Source organism: Homo sapiens, chromosome 4 (genome assembly GCF_000001405.40).
Source record: "Homo sapiens chromosome 4, GRCh38.p14 Primary Assembly".
NCBI classification, from domain to species: Eukaryota; Metazoa; Chordata; class Mammalia; order Primates; family Hominidae; genus Homo; species Homo sapiens.
In genome coordinates, this window is record NC_000004.12 from 102,310,192 (window position 1) to 102,335,003 (window position 24,812).

At 38.3% G+C, this 24,812-nt stretch overlaps 1 protein-coding gene across 8 annotated transcripts in view, besides 1 other annotated feature; it reads right to left on the reverse strand.

Annotated features, from left to right (window-relative positions):
- SLC39A8 (solute carrier family 39 member 8) overlaps positions 1-24,812 on the reverse strand; it is a 94,442-nt gene that overhangs the window by 59,151 nt on the left and 10,479 nt on the right. For 6 of the 8 annotated variants that reach the window (NM_001135147.1, XM_024454184.2, XM_047416070.1 and 3 more), the window contains one exon: positions 5,477-5,639. In NM_001135147.1, coding sequence (NP_001128619.1) covers positions 5,477-5,639 — 163 coding nt within the window. Of the gene's footprint in view, positions 1-5,476; positions 5,640-14,058; positions 14,373-14,736; positions 14,808-24,812 lie in introns of those variants that run through there. The other 2 variants (XM_017008541.2, NM_001135148.2) reach the window with 2 other exon arrangements.
- Positions 11,343-11,870: an enhancer, noted in NCBI's record as "H3K27ac hESC enhancer chr4:103242691-103243218 (GRCh37/hg19 assembly coordinates)". NCBI's record gives its function as "activates a minimal SCP1, AML or CMV promoter by ChIP-STARR-seq in primed H9 embryonic stem cells {active_cell/tissue: H9 hESC(primed)}" and the evidence as "EXISTENCE:reporter gene assay evidence [ECO:0000049][PMID:30033119]".

Consider the following 24,812-nt stretch of genomic DNA (forward strand, 5'->3'; position numbering starts at 1 on the left):
CCTATCTTCCTTGCCTAAGAAAGTCATACGTGGCCTTCCAAGCCAACACAAAGATCTCCTCTATGAAGCTTCCCTGCTCTCCAGGCAGTACTCCCTGGCTGGTCAGGATTCCCATTACTCTTTGTTCACTTACCACTTCTTGTGTGCTACAGTAATTTTATCACTGATATATTTGCCTACATCATATAAACTGTGTGATTCTCAATGAGAAGGGCTATGTTTTATTCATCCTCAGTGCCTAGAAAATTGTCCACGAAAAAGCACACATTCCTTGCTGAATGAATTGATAAATTCCCCATTTCAAGGTGCAGCAGAACTCTGTCAAAAAGAAATACCAATCGATCTGCTTATCCAACTTTCTAACTTTCTTTGCCCTTGCACATTTATCAGCACAACTTGGGGGATGGTGGGAGTGTAATTCATCACATTCTAAGCACACTGCATAGCTTCCCCTTCTTGTATTGTTAGAACATCATTCAGAAAAAAATGTCTGGAGTTTCCATTCAACTGAAGCACTTTCCACTTAACTGAAGCACCAAAAGTATACATTAGTATGAATCTATTCCTTGGACATCTCCATATATACGTGGGACTTTCTCAAACGATCTGTTTCAGAGAGGGACCAGTCTCCTTATAAGTGAACCCTGAAAGATTTTAATAGATTTCAAAGAAATACAGTCAGGATAGTTTACATTTATTGACTGTCCACTGTGTAAGATTCTTCTAAGAACTTTACCTATTTTAACTCATTTAATTCTCACAACAACCCTATGAGATAGGTGCTGCTATTTTTCCCATTTTAATAGTGAGGAAATATGGTTCTATTATGATACCCATTTTGCAGACCTGCATACAGCCCAGGCTTCAATTTTTGCCTGGCCCCATTTAACTGTGAAACTGTATAGAATGGTGTTTAACAGTGTGAACTCTGGAGCCAGAGGATTTGTGTTCAAATCCCAGCTCATCCCCTCACTGGCATCATAGGTTGGTTCCTTGACTTCCCTAAGTTTCAGTTTTCTCATATTTAAAATGCAGATTAAAATAGCTCCTATTTCATAGAGTTATTACAAGAATAAAATAAAACCAGTTAATGCTGTCCCTGGAATATAGCAAGCCTTTAATAAATGTTGATTACAATTATGTTTAAAAAATTAGTAAGTAGACCATGATATAAATGTTAGTTCATTTAATTCACTGTTACTCAGTGAAAAGAAGAACAAACTAAGAATCAGGAGCTCTCATTTCACCTTAGGTACGACACCTACAAGAAGCCACTTAACCTCTCTGGAACTTGGACTTACATCACTAGTTGTATTACAGAGTTGGACAATATGATCTCCAAGGATGCTTCAATTAATATTCTTTATTTTATCTACTATATGAATTAAATATGATTCTGCAACTTCATCAAAAAGTGAGGCAATTTCAGACCATTAAATTATTACTAAAATGCAATTAATTTCTCTCCTAGAGAATTTAACTTATCATCAGTTTACTGTACTCATCAATATCATTTTATAAAGCACATGAAATACTTTCAAAAATAAAATGTGAGGCCTCTGAGAAATTTTACTGTCTACCCACTGAAATGTCAACATAAATGTATTCAAATTTTTGTATCATTTGGATTGTTTTTATGTTGATTTTTTATTGCTTTGGATGAGCTAAAGACTTGACTCTTCATTAAGTGAAAAGTTATATGAAAAATCCAGTGCATTTAATTATTTTAAAATGTTTTTCTTAGTGAGAAAAACAATAGGATAACACAGGGGCCAGGGAATGTGGTGAACCTATGAACACATGTATAAGAACAAAGACATTCTTCTTCCTCTGTGCCAGGCATTGTTCTAGGCACTTACGTATATTAACTCATTTGATACTCCCAACAATTCTATAAAGGTACTATTAAAGTAACTGACCCATAGAGATATTAAATAATCATACAGCTGCACTAAAATAAAACAATCAAGATATCACATCAAAAAGGCAATAGAGTGCCAAGTTAAACATCTTAGATGAGTAGTAACAAGCACTCTACTAGTTTCCCTAAATTCCCCTGGAAACATTTCCATATCTTCTCCCCCCGATCCCACTCCACTCCAGCCTCATTTCAATTCCTAAGACAATATGCACCCTAAGAGGCATTTCTCTTTTTATTGGGTTATCTGTCTGAATATTTGGTGATCCCATAACTTAGAATTGCTGACTTTTCCATTTTATGACTTTGTAGTGTTGTCCCTAGAATTCTACCTCTCACACCCTGCTTCTGACTTCCCAGTTCTCAACTCCTGGTTCCTGAAACAGAGTAACCTAGTCAACTGGGGTTTAAAAATTACTTTTGAATATGAGTAATTAACTTGCACAGAGCAACTGGGGTTAAAAAATTACTTTTGAATATAAGTAAGTAACCTGCACAGAGTAGAGTATTTGCTTTTTCTGAAACCTCACTTCCTGTACCTAGAGTTATGCACGTTAGATGTAGTTATTTAACAGACCTAACTAACAGGCCTACCACAGCACCTAGGTACTGAATAATGTTCGAAGTACTTTACAAATATTAAGTCATTTAATCTTTACAGCAAGCCCATAAGAAAGGTACTATTTTAGATGAGGAAGCTGAGGCAGGAAAAGGTTAAAGTCATGTTCTCAACATAGCTGGAAAATTACAGAGCTGGGATTTGAGCCCAGGTAAACTGGCTTCAGAGTCTGTGCTTTTACTGTGCAATACTATTAGTCAAGGGTAGTATCCTAAAGCGTTTGCTGAATTTACTTTTTAATGTAAAGTGCAAACTGTATTAAACAGGCTTGTAGAAATATAAATATACTCTAGCAAAAATATTTGCTTGAACAATTAGCAATTCAAAATTACTAATATTTCAAAATTGAAATTACTGTTATTCACAAAATTGCAAATTATATTGATAAATGATACTTGGTGATTTCTATGCTTTGTATATATAAATACAGAATATCAATGAGAACATGGGTTCTGAAGCCAAGACAACCTGGGCTGAATCTGGCTCTACCACATGCAAGTTGTGTAACTTTGAGCAAATGACTTTAAACTCCCTGTACCTTTGTTTTCTTGGCTGTAAAATGGGAATAGTAGTGTCTACATCATATAGTTGCATGAAATTAATATATGAATATGTAAAGTACTTCAAAGAGTGCCTGTCATATAGTAAGTACCACAAAAGAATTGGCTATCATCATTGTTATTTTTGTCATTGTTGTTGTTATTTCTTTTATTCATATAGAGGGAGACTGAAGTGTACATGCACAAAGGAATCCGGAAATGAAAACAGGCACTTTCTTTGTTAAGTCTTCCCTTTTCTTCTCTATCTTTACTCTCTTTATCTATCTATACTCCTGTCAGATGAGCTCACTCAGAACAGCATCTTTATTTTTATTTTTTTGAGATGAGGTCTCCCTCTGCCACCCAGGCTGGAGTACAGTGGGGTAATCATAGGTCACTGCAGCCTTGACCTCCTATGTTCAAGTGATCCTCCTGCCTCAGCCTCCCAAGTAGCTAGGCCTACAGGTGCATGCCACCATGTCAGCTAATTCTTTTAACTTTTGTTGTGATGGGGTCTCACTATGTTTCCCAGGCTGGTGTTGAACTCCTGGCCTCAAGCAATCCTCTGCCTTGGCCTCCCAAAGTGCTGGGATTACAGGGATGAGTCACCGTGCCTAGCCCCAGTGTCTTTAAATATCATCTCTAGACTGGCAAATCCCCAGTCTTGACCTCTCCTCTGAAAGCAATCTCCTCTCCAAATGTCTGTGTGCCTTTGCCTACTGGACCTCCCTGTCTACCTGTGTATGTCAATGTCTCAAAGCAACCACGCCAAAAATTATATTCTTTATCCTCACCACTCCCTTCCTCTACAATAAAGGGCTCTTCCCAGTCTTCTCCATCCCGGGAAATGGTATAACGATCTCTCCGGTTTCTCTGGCTCAAGACTTGACTCATTGTTCCCTCTCCCACAATCAATCCAGGGCAAACCATTTAGCATGATCTCCAGGACTCATCCCGAATCTACTGCTTCTCCCCACTTCTACTTCCCCCACTTTAGTCCAAGTCCCCATCATCCTGGCATCAGCTCCTGGCAATCGCTTCCTGACCAATCACCCTGCTTCTACTCTTGCCCCATTACAATCTGTTCTTCAGATTGTAGGCAGGTGGAATGCCCTTTTAACAGATTTGAATGAGATCACAGCATTCCCCTGTTTAGAATGGTACAGTGACTTCACACTACATTCAGAATAAAACCCAATCAATTTACCACCTCCCGCAAGGCTTCCTCACCTGGTCTCCATCTCCCGCCAGGACATATATCCTTCTACCTTCCCCACCAACTCACTAGGCTCCAGACACATAGGAGCCTCTTGCTGCTCCTCACTCATGCCAAGCTCATTGCCAAGCTATGTTGGCTGTGCCCTCAATCAAGAATGCTCTTCACTAGAGACGACCTTGCTGTGGCCCTCTCCTTCTGCTCAGATGATACCTCATCAGAGAGGGCTTCCTTGATCTATCTAAGATGACACTCACCCACTATCACCTTCTATCCCTCACCTACTAATATTTTATTTTCTTCATAGCACCTTTCACTCTGAAACTATGTTGTTTATTTGCTTGTTTAAATTTGCTTGTTTAAATCTTCTCCACTACACTGTAAGCCCTAAAAAGACAGATAATTATTCTTCTTGTTTACCATTGACTCCTTAGTGCACAGAACAATACTTGGTATGTCGTTCAATAAATATTTGCTTAATGAACAAATGAACGAAACTTTAAAATTCCAACATAATTTTCAAACAGACTCCCTGAACAATTGGTTTATCTCATTGGTGAAAGTGACCCTTCTACACATTTAAGCATGTGAGCTGTATATTAAGCATACATATATTTTATTATGGTTTAAAATTTCTTTGCATCAGATCATACCGTTAAAGTACATATTCATGGAAATACCATTATAGTCACTTAAAATAGTCTCTGGTATTTTCTTTCACCTATGAAAATTAAAACTAATAATTTGGTCCCTGAAAATTTAATCTAGAAGCATGCTAGTTCTCTTATCTCTTCATTGGTAACTGCAGATAAACTGACAAGCTTTAAAATAATATGGTAAGCAAAAGATAATGGAAATGAAATGATCAATTATAAGCCAAAGAAAATGCAATCCAATATGCACAGCATAAAATATATATTGTTTAAAATCAAGAACTGGATTTTATAAAGTTTTTAAGTGTACTAAATGTAATTTTGATTCAACAAAGAGAAGAGCATAACTTATGAAGCTTAAATGAGTTATAATTCTTCTTATTCCAAATACTTTCAAAATATAAGTATTATTCGAAGAAGTTCTATGTAGATTAATTAAAAGCAATAAAGCAGAAAAAGAGGCATATTAACTTCATTTCACAATGGTTCATAGACTTTTCAAATAAAAGAGAAAAAATGCTTCTAATATACCTTCTGAATGACTTGGTCTTGTTTTGTGCTTGGGCCGATCCTCACATGGGTGAAAGTTCAATTGCTGTAAGACTGCTGGACAGATGACAGAGAATTTGGAGCTGGTTATTTGGGTAGCATTTGAAAAGCCATGAAGGGAAAAGATCTCTTCAGCAGTTAAACACTGAAATAGAATAAACAAAAAAAAAATGTGATAATAATGTGTAAAAGCACATAAGCAAAGATGCTATAAAGAGACACAGACTATTTCATCTAGATGCACAGCACTCTTTATACAAAAGCCCACCACAGAAATTGAAAGGCCCCTAAAGTTGTAAAACAGCCCACACCAGTTTAAACCTAGAAACAAGAAAAATAGAAAAAAAAAAATCCCTTCTTAATCAACAGCTTTCCTACAGCAGAAAATAAATAAGAATTGGTTTGGGCATATCTAAGGACTTTATTTAAAATAGGGGTGCACCAACACCATTCAAACAAAGGGTTTTAAAACAATTTTTTATTGTCAGTACCCCCTCTTAGTTTACTTTTCTTCAGTTTGAATGGATATTTTGTGTGTGTCACTGGCATGGCTCTCTATAGCATTTCTTGTAGACAAATACCTGGCTCCCTACAGTTTCATGCTAAGAAATTCCTCTCTTCTCTACACTGCAATAAATATAAATATAAAAAGTTGTTTTAAAATATGTCTTTTGCACAAACTGTTTTTCATTAAAATATGCATTATTCTCAATGACGTTGGGTAACTTTTCTATATTAAGTTTTGAAAATAGTGCTGGGCTGTTTAGAAATTCATTAACTATTAACAAGGACTAGAATCTACATTAGGAAAAAAACTGCAAAAATAATTTTTTAAAGGTATAATGTTGTTCTCACATTTTAACTGTAAGCTCTTCCATATACAGTACTTGCATTATTAAGAAAAATATAAAATAAATGCTACTGAATGTCATAAGAATTATAGTGTGAAAAATATCCATTCACTCAAATGGAAGAGTCTGTCTTTAATAAACGTAATTTAGGCAAGTTATTTGCATGCTTCAGCCAATGCTTAAACCCCAATAAGACCTTAGCTATGTACTATGATCTGAATTATGTCTCCCCAGATTCACATGTTGAAGCCCTAATCCCCAGTGTGATGGTATTTGGAGATGGGGCCTTTGAGAGGTAATTAAGTTTAGATGAGTTCATGAAGTTGGGGCCCTGGTCCAGTGGGATTAGTGCACTTATAAAAAGAGACATCAAAGAGCCTGCTCACTTGCTCTTTCTCTGCTATATGAGGAAGCGAGAAAATGCTCTCTGTGACCCAAGGAGAGAGCCCTCACAGACAGCAACCATTCTGGCACCTTGGTCTGGACTTCAAGTCTCCAACTATGAGAAAATAAATTTCTGTTGCTTAAGCCACCTAGGCTTTGGTATTTTGTTATGGCAGCCTGAGCTGACTAATACACTATGAATGGTATCAATAACTCAAAGTTGATGTTAATTGTTTGACCATAAGATGCTGTAATTCCCTTTACTACAGAAACAATGAAATTTAAAATGTCATATTTTGTTACAAGGAGATCACTACTGTTTATAAAGGAAAAATGAAAAAACATCAAATAATCAAATACACCAAGATCTATGCAGTTGTCCAACGCTAAGATTACAACTACCTTACAGAAAATGCACATTTAGATTTTTTTAATGTCTAAGTATGTACCTAAAATTGTTCCTTATTCAACCCACTGTTTTGAGTTTATGATTAATGATAGCTGCATGCCATCCATAGAAGAGGATACACCACACTCAATGCCCTGTTAACAGTCTTCCCTTTAGCTCAGAATGATGTATAATAAACTAATGGAGGGAGAAAATACCTCAAGATTTAATTGGGGAAGGGAAAGTGTGAACAGTTTATTCATCACCAGGAAGGCATCCAGAAGCATAATTGCTAGATTCAAAAAGTAGACAGCCCTTGTGGTTCAACTGGACACTGTGTGCTTCCAGGAATAAATAGGTGTGATAGCACATGATAGCACACACAGAGAGCACCACTGTTTCCCTGCAAGGAAGACTTACCCTACTTGGACTTTAAATTCCTCCAACTGTAAAATAGGAGGAAAACGGGAAGATGCCTATAGATAATCTCCAAAGACTTTTCAGAATTAGCATGCTAAGGCTCCCTAATACCTGATGACTGTTAAGCAGTTCTTTTTCAGACTCAAATTGTAACCCATTCCTGAATCAGGACGCCCACTTGCTAAGGCACAGTCTGCATTTTTTAATGAAGTAAAATACAAAATAATAGAAACTATAGACCATATCACACATAATAGGGTAAGTGTTGCTTAACCAAACTTTAGTTACACATCATATATAACATGAACATGTATACTGGATCATGATGTAAAATGTATTTCTTGCTGTGAATGGCAGTCACGAGCTTGAATGCCACCACCCTTAAGGATGTCAGAATTGCCAACTGTACATCATTAAAGACACCCTCCTACATACAATTAGAAAAAAAGAAACAGTGCAGTCAAATAAATATATAATTAATACCATCAGATAGCTTAGCTGTGCAGCATTTGTGTTGAAATTTTAGCTGGACAGGTGGTCAGGGATAGTCACGGTAGTCATGGAGAGTGGCAACTGTCCAATCACCACGAAGAACACAGAGATGTAGAGATGATAAAACTCAAAGCTCCCCTCATGATAAGAGAATGAGAACAGAATACGAACAGTGCAGCAGAACTGAATTAATGGCAAGCCTGACTTATTTAAAATAGCTATCTACCAGCAAGTGGAATGAACACAATTTTGGACAGTGGCCTATTTCTGGCTTCAAACAATCTTGATATTTATTATACTTTGACTTAACAAAGTTGAACCAGAAACAAAAGAAAGCAGTTGTCTTAGAAAGGGTGGTGCCTCCCAGAGTGGGAACAAACAGGATGAGAGTCCAGCGCCTGAAGAGTGAGGGCAACAAAACCAACCGGTTATACCATGGACAAGGAGGCTCAAACACCCTCACAAGCACACCCTTTCACCTCCAAAACAATGAACAAACAAATTACGGAAAGGGTAGGATCATCAAGTGCTACTCAGAAAACTATTCAGGATGATTGTACGGAATGCTATCTGCCTTAATAAAACTCCATGTGCTTTCGCCAGCTCCTTCACATTTATGACAGCTTTACTTCTTTTCATGCTTGTATCTATGACACTGCTGTTCTCAAGCATGCTGCCCTGATGTTTGCTGTGGCCTTTTAAGGTTTCAGATGTCCTCGTGTTCAGCGCGTTGACATTTTTCATAAAGACTCTAAGTTTGAAGTTAAGCTCCTATTCACTGGTCTCTTGCCACATTAGGGTGACCTCAAATGGGCCTTGTATGTGTGAAACACCAAAGTAAGGTAGCATTATAGGTAGGGGCTAGGTATATATTACAAAAGAGACCGCAAAGTATGCTCAAAACCGTTTCAGCAAATAGTTATGTGCATTTTGGCTTCCGCTTCTGCTCTTCCTTCTTCCTCACCAGTTTTTATGAGTCAGAAGTTTTTCTGCCTCTTTCCTAAACATGTCCTTATGGGAAAGTGGGGGGCTGGTTCAGAGAGAGGATGAAGGAAGCTCAAGGAATTAGGGCAAGTTCCTTCCTTAGCATTTTACACAATTGAGATCTGGTTATAATAAATGCTGAATCTGAAAGCTTCAATACTGACAAAGATTCTCTCCTTGACTAAACTGCAGTCAGGCTCCTCTGAGCCCAGGCCTCGACCCTAGCATCCATCCTTACAGGACCTGCATCACCTGGTGTTAGCAAGAAACCTTCTAACTCAGTTTAAAGAGAGTTCCCTCACCCTCCATGTCTGACCACCCTGGTCCTGCCTTCAGCAAGAATCCTGTTAGGTCTGTTTAACCAAAATCCCCCCTACCCTTAATGTTTCCTCTTAGTAATTTTCCATTCACTGACCCCCTCCCCACTCCTACCCCTGCTCCTCCTTGGCTGTAAATCCCTACTTGTCCATGTTGTATTTGGAGTTGAGCCAAGTTCCATACTGAGGTCTCTTTTCCCCTTGTGATCATTAATTTTGTGTCAATTTGACTGGCCACTGGCTTCCCAAATTAAACATTATTTCTAGGGCGTTAAACATTACTTCTGAGGTGTCTGCAGGGTGGTTCCAGATGAGATTAGCATTTGAATCGGTGGACTCCGTTAAGTAGATTGCCCTCCCCAGTGTGAGTCCAACCCATTGAAGGTCTGAACAGAACAAAAGGCAGAGGAAGGAATTTGTCCCTTTTTTCCTTCCTCACTGCTTGAACTGGGTCATTTGATTTCAGTTTCTTCAACCCTCCCTCTAGAGTTTACACCACTGGCTCCTCTGGTTCTCGGGCTTTCAGACACAGGCTAAATTAAAGCATTGGCTTTCCCAATCTGTAGCCTGCAGACAGCAGATCCTGGGACTTCTCAGCCTCCACAATCACATGAGCCAATTCCTCATAATCTCTCATATATATATACATATATATATATATATATATATGTATATATATATGTATATATATATGTATATATGTATGAGTATATATATATGAGAATATATATATGAGTATATATATGAGAATATTATATATGAGTATATATATGAGAATATATATATGAGTATATATATATGAGAATGTATATATGAGTATATATATATGAGAATATATATATGAGTATATATATATGAGAATATATATATGAGTATATATATATGAGAATATATATATGAGAATATATATATATGAGAATATATATATGAGAGTATATATACATATGAGAATATATATATGAGAGTATATATATATGAGAATATATATATGAGAGTATATATATATGAGAATATATATATGAGAGTATATATATATGAGAATATATATATGAGAGTATATATATATGAGAATATATATATGAGAGTATATATATATGAGAATATATATATGAGAGTATATATATATGAGAATATATATATGAGAGTATATATATATGAGAATATATATATGAGAGTATATATATATGAGAATATATATATGAGAGTATATATATATGAGAATATATATATGAGAGTATATATATATGAGAATATATATATGAGAAAAAATATATATATATATATCCTGTTGGTTTTGTTTCTCTGGAGAACTCTAACATACCCCTATTGCAATGTTTCCTGAATGAAATCTGTTTTTACCACTTCGACTGCTGTTAGGCACTGGTTTTTTAACAATATCAAGTATAGTAGCCATGTAGTTATACTACAGATTGCATTAACTCCTTCCTTTATTCTACAAATATTTATCAAACCATAAAAGTCTAGGTATAATATTGATGGGAGAAGTAGAAAGTGGGGAAAGCTGGAGGATGACAACCAGGAAGGAAATAGTACAAAGATAAATAAGTAAAACTGCCTTCCATCAGCAAACTTAAATCACTGTGGCAGAAATAAATTAGATACATGAAGGTCTATAAAACCAGAGAGGAAATTATAAATTCACAAAAAACATAATAATAAAGAACTATGAGAGTTCACATGAGGGAGAAATGATATGCAGAGGAAATAGTCAAAAACAACATTGACGATAGAATGCTGGGAGAGTAGAAAGAGGATGCTGCTACTGCTGTTGATAGATGCAGGAGGCAGATAAAAGGGAGGGTCCTCGGAGAATCTCTACCTGCCTGAGCAGTGGGAGAATAGGATGGAGCCATGGGAATTTCCCGTGCGTGCAAGGGGCAGGAGCCTGCCCTCTTCAGTTCCTGTGTTTGTGACCTGGAACCAATCTGTGAGATGGGGGCCTGTTAGCAGGAACTCCGCTAGCTTTGCTGAGAGGTCGTTTTTTTCTTTTTTCCTTTTCGCCCAATAAATTCCATTCTCCTCACCCTTCAATGTGTCTATGTGCCTAATTTTTTCTGGTCGTGTGACAAGAACCCAGTATAAGCTGAACTAAGGAACAAAGTTCTGCAACACTGTGATTAGGGAACCTAGGAAGAGAAGCCCATTTGGCAGGATGGTGGCAACTTTGGTTTTAGACATTTCAAGTTGCAATGCTCCTGGGACCCCAAATGCAAATGATTGGTGAGCTTTCCCTGAGAAAGGTAGAGACCAGAGACAAGGATGTGGCTTCTTCTGCAATGAGGTCATAGCTGAGTGGGAGTAGTGGAGCTGATCAGGAGAATCAGCATATAGAAAGAAGAACAAAGGCTTGAGAATGCATACACGATTTGTGCAAAAGCACGAAAAAGAGCCAGTATATAAGCCCGAGTGAATTAAGCTCAAAACATAAGAAACAATCCAGACCAGTCAAATTTGGTAGATGTCTGTGGTTTTTGCCTTCCTGGAATGATGAAAGACATGTAACCCTTGGGTTTTTGTCCCATCATCTAGTAACAGACCTCCTTACTGCCATGGGAACTGCCTTCCATGTGATTTTGGTAAGCATAGGAGCAGTCTGGATCCTATAATCACCTGTGCTACTGAAAAACTCTTTCTCCACTAGTCCTGCTGTGAGTCTGGGGACATCTTAAACCATTTCTGCCGCCATGTGAAAGAAGGCTAACTAAGAAGTGGAGAAAGACAGATTTTCAATACCATCACAATACCCTGGATAAGCTGTACCTAAAGCTGATGTGCACCCTGACTCTTAAGTTATGTGGGCCAATGAATTCCCTTTCGGCTTAAGCTAATTAAAGTTGATTTTTTTTCACTCTTACAAATAAAAGAGTACTGATGGATACATAAAGTAATTATTTAAAAGTCACTTTTAAAAGCTAGTGAATGAATGCTACATCATAACCTATAGGAAAACAAAAAGATAAGCCTTTCCACTCTTTAAAGCTTCCACACTTCTTCCTGTTCTCCACACACAGGCTGTTTTGTCTGCTTGGTTGTCTTATCAAGTGGCACCCATTAAATAATACAATACAGTAAGACCATCTGATCCTGTACCATTATACCAAGGCCTTCACATCACACCAGAAATGAAATATCATCCCATTCAAAAGCCACCCCAGAAATGGTTTCAGATTTTGTTTTGCAATAGATTGAGATTCTGTGGGAGGCTGAGTAGCTCACATTCCCAATAAGGAAAGTGCTAGGTGTGGTTGTATTCTCTCTGTGGAGGTAAAGGCAGGGAGACACAGATTTTTGTAATGCATTTAGACTCAATGACAATCAACTTTAAATACCATTACAAAGCCCCAGAGGGAGCAAGCAGCAGAACTGGGGTTAGAATCCAAGTCTGAAAGAGCTCTGTCTAGCTTCTTTTATTTTAGTCACCTCTACCCTGCGCTGCCCTGCCAGTGATTGCTACAGCTGTTGCTATTCAGTAAGAACTACAGCTACTTTCTGAAATTTGCCATGTATGCAGCTGTGATGAAAGCCATGAAACCCATCCTTCCCCCACCCCAAGTAAGTGGCGATCTCCTGTTCTTTAAAGAGATGCAACAAGTAAGAGGTTTAATAAGAATCCACCTATAATCTTCATCTGTTCTGCTCTTATAGAAGCCCATTCCACTTCTCCTTCATTCTCATTCATTTATTCATTAACTGAACAGGTTGCTCACACCTTCTCTGAGTCAGGTATTCCAGTAGGTGTTGAGAATAAGACATGGTTTTCATCTTCAACAATCTCATCATTCAGCATAGAAAGGAGATACATATAAAACAGATAAGCAAATAAAAATATGCACAACATATCATGTGATTAAAGGAATGAGGTCAGGGAAGGCTTCCTAGAGGAGGAGATACATGTGCTAAGTTTGTTATTTTGATGCATCTGATTCTTGGGGAAATAAGACATGATACACAAAAAAATTAATGGAGAGATCAGTAACGCAAATGAGTATGCAATTAGTTGGTGAATAAATTTTATAAGCAATAGTTATCATAAGAGTTCTGGGAAGCATATAAGGACTACAGTAATAGCAAACCATAATATATGCTTAACACGTATAACCTCTTTAATCAACCACTTAAATAGATTTTAGGTTAAATTTGGATGAAGAAATCCTGTCTAGAAAGGTAAATTTCTAACGGTACAAGATTAAACAATGTAAAAGTGTTAAAGACAGAATTCAGATATATGTGTTCTCATGCCTTTTGACTTGTAAGCCAGTATTCTGGCTGCTATGTCTTGGTCCAACACTGAGAAGGATTCAATGAAAGAATCATTGAGACCCTGGCAGAGAATGCACTTTGTTGCCCCTAATAGTGAGTTGAAACACACAATTAAATTAACTGTTAAACCATATTTAGGATCCCACTCAGAGACAGACTTCAAAAATAACCCTACAATAAGAAATTACTTAATGGACACAATATGTATTATTCAGGTGATGGCTACACTAAAAGCCCAGATTTCACCACTACCCAATATATTCATGTAACAAAACTGCCCTTGTACTTACATTTATACAAATAAAAAAGTCCGGCCAGCTGCAGTGGCTCACACCTGTAATCCCAGCACTTTGGGAGGCCGAGGCGGGCAGATCATGAGGTCAAGAGATCAAGACCATCCTGGCCAACATGGTGAAACCCCGTCTATACTAAAAATATAAAAATTACCTGAGCGTGTTGGTGCATGCCTGTAATCCCAGCTACTCGGAAGGCTGAGGCAGGAGAATCGCTTGAACCCAGAAGGCGGAGGCTGCAGTGAGCCGAGATAGTGCCACTACACTCCAGCCTGGTGACAAACCAAGACTCCGGCTCAAGAAAGAAAAAAAAAAATCCTACAGTTCAAACATCAGCCAACTTTTCTCACCAGAGTGAGAATTTTAGGTATACTTCGCTTTCTGCACTTCATTTCTTTTGCTTTTTCATAATTTTGTTTAGTTTGCAGCTATGAACTTAAACCATTTTTGCAGTTGGCTCCAAAAATGCTGTGAAGACAAGTGAGAGATTCATTCATTTATTTACTCATTCATACATTCAACACATATTTACCGAGCACTACTGCATGCCAGGTACATAGCAATATTAGTAATCATCTTAATAAATACTAAAGTAGATATGAATTCCAGGATTCCAGAGGTTTCTTTCCCATTAAATAATCATTGGGATACCTAAAAGTGTTTTGAATATGGCAACTGGCCAAAGATCCCAAGAGAGCAATTGAAATACATACATTTAAAATGGTAGTTTGAATTTAACAATTGGGAGACCACTTCTGACCCTTGAAACAAGTGAACCGTCCCATTAATTTATCCTTTTAGGGCTCACTGAACAATGGAATTGGTGACTTACATGTTCCACACTCACAGCAGGAACATTCAAAGCACGAGTGACTGAGGAAATTGCTTCCAGATTTGTTCTTCCTGCAATAATGAAACTGCCTCAATTACAAGGCACTCAAGTTTCACTTCCAAATCTCCCTGATATATACATACATACTTATATATACATATATATATGTATACATATATACACACGCTGAATCTCTCTCTCCACCTTCTCTTGAAGTTTTCCCCTCTTTAAAGTCCTCTTCAAAGTTTACTCATTATTATTCTATCAAGATAAAAGACAGTTTTCTAAGGTTTAAGCCAAGAACACTCTATAAAAATAATCTCTAGGTTTAAGAGGTGGCCAGTCAAGTGACCCCAACTCTGTTTCCCCAAGATTAATTTTTCCATTTTTCCTCAGGTTTTCTTACACTTCTTACTGAAGTCACTCTGGCACTGATGCCACCAACACACATGCACTCTCACATACATGCACACTCACACTCATATACACACACACTCACATGCATACACATACATACACACACACTTACGTTCACTCTCAAAACTCTTTTTGAAGGGAAGATGAAGAACGCTTTTCCTGAATATACAATTTAAAGGATAAAGATGCCTTGTTTTATGATGCACTGCTAGGGATAAAAAGATTATTATGAAACAATATATAGAGAATGCTGCTATAAATAAGGATAAATCTGTGCTCCAAATGTTAACAGTGTTTATCTCTGAGTGGTAAAATTATGTGTGGTTTTATTTTTTTTCCTTTCTGCTTCTTTATATCTGCCAAAGTTTTTAACAATGTACTTGTATTTCAGTTTCTTTTAAGAAAAATAAAATTAAGTCATGTTTTGTTTGTTTAAAATCTCTTTTTCCAGGTTCCCCTAAACAAAAGGCAGGCTGGAATTCTTAGAGATTTTACTAAAGAAAAAGAAAGAATGTTGAAAGCTACAACAATCTTTTTAAAAGAGGTTTACAACATTTTCTGTCTTTGTCATAGTGATGGACAAGTTTCCCAGCCCTACCCCATTCCATATTCAGCTTTTCGAGGTCTTGTCTTGAAAAGAGAAGGTGTTCTTTTAGACTCCTAAAAGTGTGGTGTGGTGTCAGAGCACAGACACCCAATCTAGATCCTTCGCTTCCCACCCCTGACATGTCTTCAGGGGGCAGAGGCCACCCTACTTCCCATCATCTGCTAGGGAATCCCATGGGCATTATCCCATTTTGCCAAGATCAAAAGCCTTTGTTTCCTTGATGTACACCAAGGGTTTCCCACTCAGTCCTTCTGAGGATAAAGTGTGGAGGGCATGCTGCTTCTTCAACTCAGGGCTGGGGAGTTGCCACAAGAAATGAGTGCACCTTGGCCGGGTGCGGTGGCTCACGCCTGTAATCCCAGCACTTTGGGAGGCCGAGGCGGGCAGATCACAAGGTCAGGAGATCGAGACCATCCTGGCTAACACGGTGAAACCCCGTCTCTACTAAAACTACAAAAAATTAGCCAGGCCTCGTGGCGGGCGCCTGTAGTCCCAGCTACTCGGGAGGCTGAGGTCTGAGAATGGGGTGCACCCAGGAGGCAGAGCTTGCAGTGAGCCGAGATCGCGCCACTGCATTCCAGCCTGGGCGACAGAGCAAGACTCCGTCTCAAAAAAATAAAAAATAAAATTAGCATGGAATGGGTTTATTGTTATGTTTAATAAATTAAATATTTTCAAGTTTTCTTAACATTAATTTCTATAATGGTAAGTATTAATAGATATAAATCACATATATTAAGGCTCTTTGGTATTCTCAATAATTTTTAAGAGTACAAGGGGGTCCTGAGACCAAAATGTTTGAGAATCTAGCAGATAAAAATGACACACCAGCAGAGAGAGCCCTTATGTACCACTTCACTGAGGAGCTAGGAGCTTCTAACCTAATCGTATCCAATACCCTTCTCATCCTGGTTATCCTACAACTCCACAAGGTTGTTTCTACTGATGCATCACCCATCAGCATGTCCTTCTTCTGCCCAAACTGCAACCCTTGCACACACACATACCAAAAAAACAAAAACAAAAACCTTCAAAATTACACATTTCTGGCCTGGCATGGTGGCTCACACTTGTAATCCTAGCACTTTGAGACACCAAGGCAGGAGGATCACTTAAGCCCAGGAGTTCAAAACCAGCTTGAATGACAAAAATAATTAAAAATTAGCTAAGCATGATGGTGCACACCAGTAGTCCCAGTTACTCAGAAGGATGAGCAGGAGGATCGCTTGAGCCCAGGAGGTCAAGGCTGCAGTGAGTCATGATCGTGCCACTGCAATCCAGCCTGGGTGACACAGTGAGACCCTGTCTCAAAAAAATTGTACACATTTATGCCGAGAGTCTAAAGTCCTAACACTTAAGAACCTCACTTGCCTGTCTCTAATATTCCTTCCCCCTTCAGCATGCTGTAAAAGGATAGATGAATACTCTATCCTAACCAGTTATAATCAGCCTTATATTGTAACTTCACTGTGACTTTGCATCTCCCATGACCCCTGCCTAGAATATGATACATCTCCTCTCAAACTACCCAACTCCTGTCTGTCCTGCAAGGCCCATTTGGAATCCATCTTCACTGCCTAATATTGCTATACCCATCCCTTCTCCAGACTCCAGACATCCCTGTTATCTATTTGTTTAGCACTTAATGTGTGCTTCCATGTATTATTATCTTCTCATGAAATGGATATTCCTTCAATAAGATCATAAAAATCTACAGAGAATGGACTTCTTCCTTTTTATATCTTCTTCAACCCCTAATAAGTCCTTGGACACATAAGACACTCAATTTATAAACAATTGCTAATTTTGTAGATTAAGGAAAGAAGGTGAATGAAAGGAGATTTCAAACTAGCACACTGTGTTTGAATATAATTCTGAGAAATATAAATCAATAACCTGGGAATCATCTACCAAGACCTCTGAGGAGGCAAATATTCCAGCCATAAGTTTTTCTTCTCATTCTATGAAACTTTCCTAGAATCAGTTTAATGTGGCCCTGATGCTACAAATAAACTAATCCTGATATCAGTGTTTCTAAGTTGCCGTAAAGAATATAGTAATGGGCTACAGAGAAAATCCCAGGCTAAATGAGAAGAAAAAAATTCCTGGAAAGTTCATAAACTAAAAGTAATAAAAACTTTATTTCCTTCTATTTAGATGGCCCATGGGTTAAATTTTAATGTACTATTCTTTTAGGTTTTTTATGTGTGTAATTGGACCCATGGAAATGCATGAATACCTATTCCATTTCCTCACCTCTCAGTCATTCCTCAACCCATTGTGGTCTGGCTTCTATTCCCACCACTTCCTTGAAATTATTCTATACAAGGTCACTGGAACCTCCCTATTGCTAAATACAATGGGTGCTTCTCAGGCCTTATCTCTCTGTTTTTTTTTTTTTAATTCATTGTCGGCAACAAAAAATGGAATTGCTGGTTTACCTTAAATTAAATTAAATGATGCATCTAGGTTGATGTCTAGATCATCTGCTTAAACCAGCAGAATAGAGAGTTCATGTGTCCTTTTAGAGGATGATGAGGAGGGAAAGGAATATTAATTTAGAAGGTTATGTTGGTTTAAAATTAATCATTTAAAAATTTATCAGTTAAAAAGGTTGAAGTTATTTATCAAGTATTTCATTCATTCAACAAATATTTCTTGAATATCGCCTAAATGTCAGACATTATGCTAGTTATGGGCATAGCGGAGGCTTTCCAGGTAAACCCAGTCCTTTGCCTCATGGACCATACAGACTATTGCAGAGTCCATATTAAGGCATATATAACTGCAGGGGCCGGGCACGGTGGCTCACGCCTGTAATCCCAGCACTTTGGGAGACCAAGGTGGGAGGATCACGAGGTCAGGAGATCGAGACCATCCTGGTTAACACGGTGAAACCCCGTCTCTACTAAAAAAATACAAAAAAATTAGCTGGGCTTGGTGGTGGGCGCCTGTAGTCCCAGCTACTCGGGAGGCTGAGGCAGGAGAATGGTGTGAACCCGGGAGGCGGAGCTTGCAGTGAGCCAAGACTGCACCACTGCACTCCAGCTTGGGTGACAGAGAGAGACTGAATCTCAAAAAAAAAAAAAAAAGACATATATAACTGTAGCATAGTCTGGTAAGTGTGGAGGTAGGCTCCATGAATTTGGAGAAGACAGAGGTATTAGCCAACTCTGAAGTAATGGGACTGTCAAAGCCTTCCTGGAGAAAGCAGCACTGAAGGTGAAATGTGAAGGAAAAAGTAGAAATAAGGCTGGAGAAATATGGGAGTGGGGGCAGATGCTTCTGCCGTAAATACCAGGCAAATAGTTTAGAGTTTATTTTCACAATAATGGGAAGTCATGTGAGGATAGTGACATGCTCAGATTTGCATATTAAAGATTCAAGTTGGCTGGGCACAGTGGCTCATGCCTGTATTCTCAGCACTTTGGGAGGCCACGGCAGGCGGATCACCTGATGTCAAGAGTTCAAGACCAGCCTGACCAATATGGTGAAACCCTGTCTCTACTAAAAATACAAAAATTAGCTGGGCATGGTGGTGGGCGCCTGTAGTCCCAGCTATTTCGGAAGCTGAGACAGGAGAATTGCTTGAACCTGGAAGATGGAGGTTGCAGTGAGCTGAGATAGTGCCACTGCAATCCAGCCTGGGGGAGAGAGCAAGAATCTGTCTCAAAAAAAAAAAAAAAAAAAGATTCAAGTCTGTGAACTCAGCTCTGGACCAAGCTGAGTTAATAGACATTTACAGAACTCTCCACCCCAAATCAACAGAATATACATTCTTCTCAGCACCACATCGCACTTATTCTAAAATTGACCACATAATTGGAAGTAAAACACTCCTCAGTAAATGCAAAAGAATGGTAATCATAACAAACTGTCTCTCCCAGCTCAGTGCAATCAAATTAGAACTCAGGATTAAGATACTCACTCAAAACCACACAACTACATGGAAACTGAACAACCTGCTCCTGACTGATTACTGGGTAATAACGAAATTAACGCAGAAATAAGTAATTTCTTTAAGAACAAAGACACAACATACCAGAATCTCTGGGACACAGCTAAAGCAGTGTTTAGAAGGAAATTTATAGCATTAAGTATCCACAGGAGAAAGCGAAAAAGATCTAAAATCAACACCATAACATCACAATTAAAAGAACTAGAGAAGCAAGAGCAAACAAATTCAAAAGCTGGCAGAAGACAAGAAATAACTAAGATCAGAGCAGAACTGAAGGAGACAGAGGCACAAAAAAACCCTTCAAAAAATCTCTGAATCCAGGAGCTGGTTTTTTTGAAAAGATTAACAAAATAGATAGATTGTTAGCTAGACAAATAAAGAAGAAAAGAGAGAAGAATCAAAAGGACATATTAAAAATGATAAAGGGGAAATTACCACTTATCCCACAGAAATTCAAACTACCATCAGAGAATACTATAAACACCTCAACGCAAATAAACTTGAAAATAAAGAAGAAATAGGTAAATTCCTGGACACATACACCCTCCCAGGACTAAACCAGGAAGAAGTTTAATCCCTGAATAGACCAATAACAAGTTCTGAAATGGAGGCAGTAATTAATAGCCTACCAATCAAAAAAAGTCCAGGACTGGATGGATTCACAGCTCTGTATCGGTATTCACGGATACAGAGGAGCTGGTACCATTCCTTCTGATACTATCCCAAACAGTAGAAAAAGAGAGACTCTTCCCTAACTCATTTTACGAGGTCAGCATCATCCTGATACCAAAACCTGGCAAAGACATAACAGAAAAAGAAAATTTCAGGTCAATATCCCTGATGAACATGGATGCAAAACTCCTCAATAAAATACTGGCAAACCAATTCCAGCAGCACATCAAAAAGCTTATCCATTATGATCAAGTCAGTTTCATCCCTGGAATGCAGTGCTGGTTCAACATATGCAAATCAATAAACGTAATCCATCACATAAACAGAACCAATGACAAAAACCACATGATTATCTCAATAGATGCAGAAAAGGCTTTTGATAAGATTCAACACCACTTCATGCTAAAAACGCTCAATAAACTACGTATTGATGGGATGTATCTCAAAATAATAAGAGCTGCTTATGACAAGCCCACAGCCAATATCATACTGAATGGGCAAAAGCTGGAAGCAGTCCCTTTGAAAACCAGCACAAGACAAGGATGCCCTCTATTACCACTCCTATTCAACATAGTACTGGAAGTTCTGGCCAGGGCAATCAGGCAAGAGAAAGAAATGAAGGGTATTCAAACAGGAAAAGAAGCAGTCAAATTGTCTCGTTTGCAGATGACATGATTGTATATTTAGAAAACCCCATCGTCTCAGCCCAAAATCTCCTTAGGCTGATAAGCAACTCAGCAGTCTCAGGATACAGAATTGATGTGCTAAAATCACAAGCATTCCTATACACCAATAACAGATGAGAGCCAAATCGTGAGTGAACTCCCATTCACAATTGCTACAAAGAGAATAAAATACCTAGGAATACAGCTTAAAAGGGATGTGAAGGACCTCTTCTAGGAGAACTACAAACCACTGCTCAACAAAATAAGAGAGGACACAAACAAATGAAAAACATTCCATGTTCATGGATAGGAAGAATCAATATCATGAAAACGGCCATACTGCCCAACGTAATTTATAGATTCAATGCTATCCCCATCAAGCTGCCATTTACTTTCTTCACAGAATTGGAAAAAACTACTTTAAATTTCATATGGAACCAAACAAGAGCCCATAAAGCCAAGACAAACCTAAGGAAAAAGAACAAAGCTGGAGGCATCACGCTACCTGACTTCAAACTATAGTACAAGGCTACAGTAACAAAAACAGCATAGTACTGGTACCACAACAGATATATAGACCAATGGAACAGAACAGAGGCCTCAGAAATAACGCCAGACATCTACAACCATCTGATCTTTGACAAACCTCACAAAAACAAGCAATGGGGAAAGAATTTCCTATTTAATAAATGGTGTTGGGAAAACTGACTAGCCCTATGTAGAAAACTGAAACTGGATCCCTTCCTTACACCTTATACAAAAATTAACTGAAAATAAATTGAAGATTTGAACATAAGACCTAAAACCATAAAAACCCTAGAAGAAAACCTAGGCAATACCATTCAGGACATAGACATGGGCAAAGACTTCATGACTAAAACACCAAAAGCAATGGCAACAAAAGCCAAAATTGACAAATGGGATCTAATTAAACTAAAGAGCTTCTGCACAGCAAAAGAAGCTATCATCAAAGTGAACAGGCAACCTACAGAATGGGTGAAAATTTCGTAATCTATCCATCTGACAAAGGGCTAATATCCAGAATCTATAAGGAACTGAAACAAATTTACAAGAACAAAAACAAACAACCCCACCAAAAACTGGGCAAAGGATAAGAACACTTTTCAAAAGAAGACATTTATTTGGCCAAGAAACATATGAAAAAAAGCTCATCATCCACTGATTGTTAGAGAAATGCAAATCAAAACCACACTGATATACCATCTCATGCCAGTTAGAATGGCGATCAGTAAAAGGTCAGGGAACAACAGATGCTGGAGAGGATGTGGAGAAATGGGAAAGCTTTTACACTGTTGGTGGGAGTATAAATTAGTTCAACCATTGGGAAAGACAGTGTGGCAATTCCTCAAGGATCTAGAACCAGAAATACCAATTGATGGTTTGCAGTCCCATTACTGGGTATATACCCAAAGGATTATAAATCACTCTACTTTAAAGACACATGAACACATATGTTTATTGCAGCACTTTCACAGTAGCAAAGACTTGGAACCAACCCAAATGCCCATCAATGATGGATTGTATAAAGAAAATGTGGCACATATACACCATGGAATACCATGCAGCCATAAAAAAAGGATGAGTTCATGTCATTTTTAGAGACATGGATGAAGCTGGAAACCATCATCCTCAGCAAACTAACACAGCAACAGAAAACCAAACACCGCATGTTCTCACTCATAAGTGGGAATTGAACAATGAGAACACATGGACACAGGGAGGGGAACATCACACACTGGGGTCTGTCAGGGGCTGCGGGGCTAGGGGAGGTATAGCATTAGGAGAAATACCTAATGTAGATAATGGCTGATGGGTGCAGTAAACCACCATGTCACGCGTATACCTAAGTAACAAACCTGCATGTTCTGCACATGTATCCCAGAACTTGAAGTCTAATAAAATAATAAAATGTGTATATATATACATATATATGTATTCAAGACTGGAAGAAATGTAGAGGAAAGAGATATGTGAGGCAAGACTGGATGCAGAGGGCGGCAGCAGTAACAGAGTGTATGTGTATTGAATACTTACAGCATGCCAGGCAAAAGACAGAGTGGCTAGACATATTATCTGATTTCATCTCTACTACAATCCCATAAGGTAGGTACAATTTTCCCCATTACACAAAGAGGATGTTGGAGCTTCAAGAGATTAACTAAGAGATATTTATAAGTTATTATGACAAGACTTATGTGCATTTGATATGGGAAGGGGAAAGAAAAAGTGAGGAGTCAATATTAACATCCAGTTTCACAGCTTAGTTCAGTGAGCAGATAGTAATACCTATCACTAAGATGGGCAAAACAGGAATACCAAAAGGTTTTGATGGAGAAAGAGATGGAGTTGATGAGTTTTGTTTGAGACAGGTTTAGACCTGTTGAGTTGGGGAAAAGAAAAGAGTTAGACATCAATTGTCAGCTGGGTGCGCAAGGCTGAATCTCAAGAGAGAAATCTGAAGTAAGCCAACTCATGTAGAAAGCATCTACAGATAGATAATCACAGCCATATGAGTCCTTGAAGATATACAGAAAGAGTGTGTGACATCAAAATAAAACAGGCTCGAGATGGAAACCTGAGGAGCACTAATATTTAAAGAATGAGCAAAGGAAATCAAAATTGAAAAGCAGCAGCCAGAGAAGTAAGAAAAACATGGCACAAACAGCTGCAAGCAAGGAAAGAATGTGTTTCAGGTAGGATGTAATCAACACCAACAAAATTATCAGAGCGGTGAGGCCTGAGAAGCACCCACTGAACCTAACAATAAGGTGGTTCCATGTGACTTGGTATAAATTTCAGGGAAGTGGTGGGGACAGAAAAAAGCCAGAACCAATGGTTTGAATAGTGACTGAGAGGTGAGAAAACAGAACAGGCATTCGCACCTTTCTATGGTCCAGTTATACACAGTAAATGAAACACAAAGATCATGGAATATTCAGGTTAGTCAGAGCACCGTGGCCTTGCTAATACAGCATCTGATTAAAGTTAGCCCAAGGAAAAAGAACTGAGGATTCAAAATTGGAATGTCTGGTCTCCCAGAAAAATCTGGGGACTTTGTCTAACTTTTACCAAATGACTTATTCGTATCTCAGTTTCTGGGGGAACTGATATGTCCCAATTTTCTCACAATATTGTTTCGAGTATCAAATGTTAATTGTCAGGAAATAACTTTGCAAGGTTAAAAACTAGTTTGTAGAGGAAGTAATAATGAGTTTTAGGGCCGGCCCTGATTATTGCAAGTACAACTTTAACAAGGGGAAGAAAAGACATTTTTTCCCTCTTTTCACTCAAACAAGAGGGGAACATCAGCAGAGAACATATGCCAGCTTCAAATAAATGATTGTACAGTTCCCAGTGGCTTCAAGAAAATGGCATTAGTTCTACCTTGACATTCAGGCACTTGGATGACACAAGAGGCACTTGGCTTTTTGGAAAATAAGTCCTTCTGTGGGATGATACTCTTCAGCATGAGAGGCAATAGTGGAAAGTGCATCGGTTATAGAATCCAGTCACCCTGGAATGGAATATGTGCTCTGCCAATATGAGTCATCTGATTTAAAGTGAGTTACTTAACCTACCTAAGGTTGAGTTTCCTCAAGGGAATAACAAGAGTGTTTACTCCATGGGATCAGGAGGTTTAACAGAATGGTGTATAAAGAAGAACTGAGCAGGATGCCTGGAACACAAGAAGTGCTCCGTAATTGTTAGTAAATATTCTTACTAGGACAGGACCTGT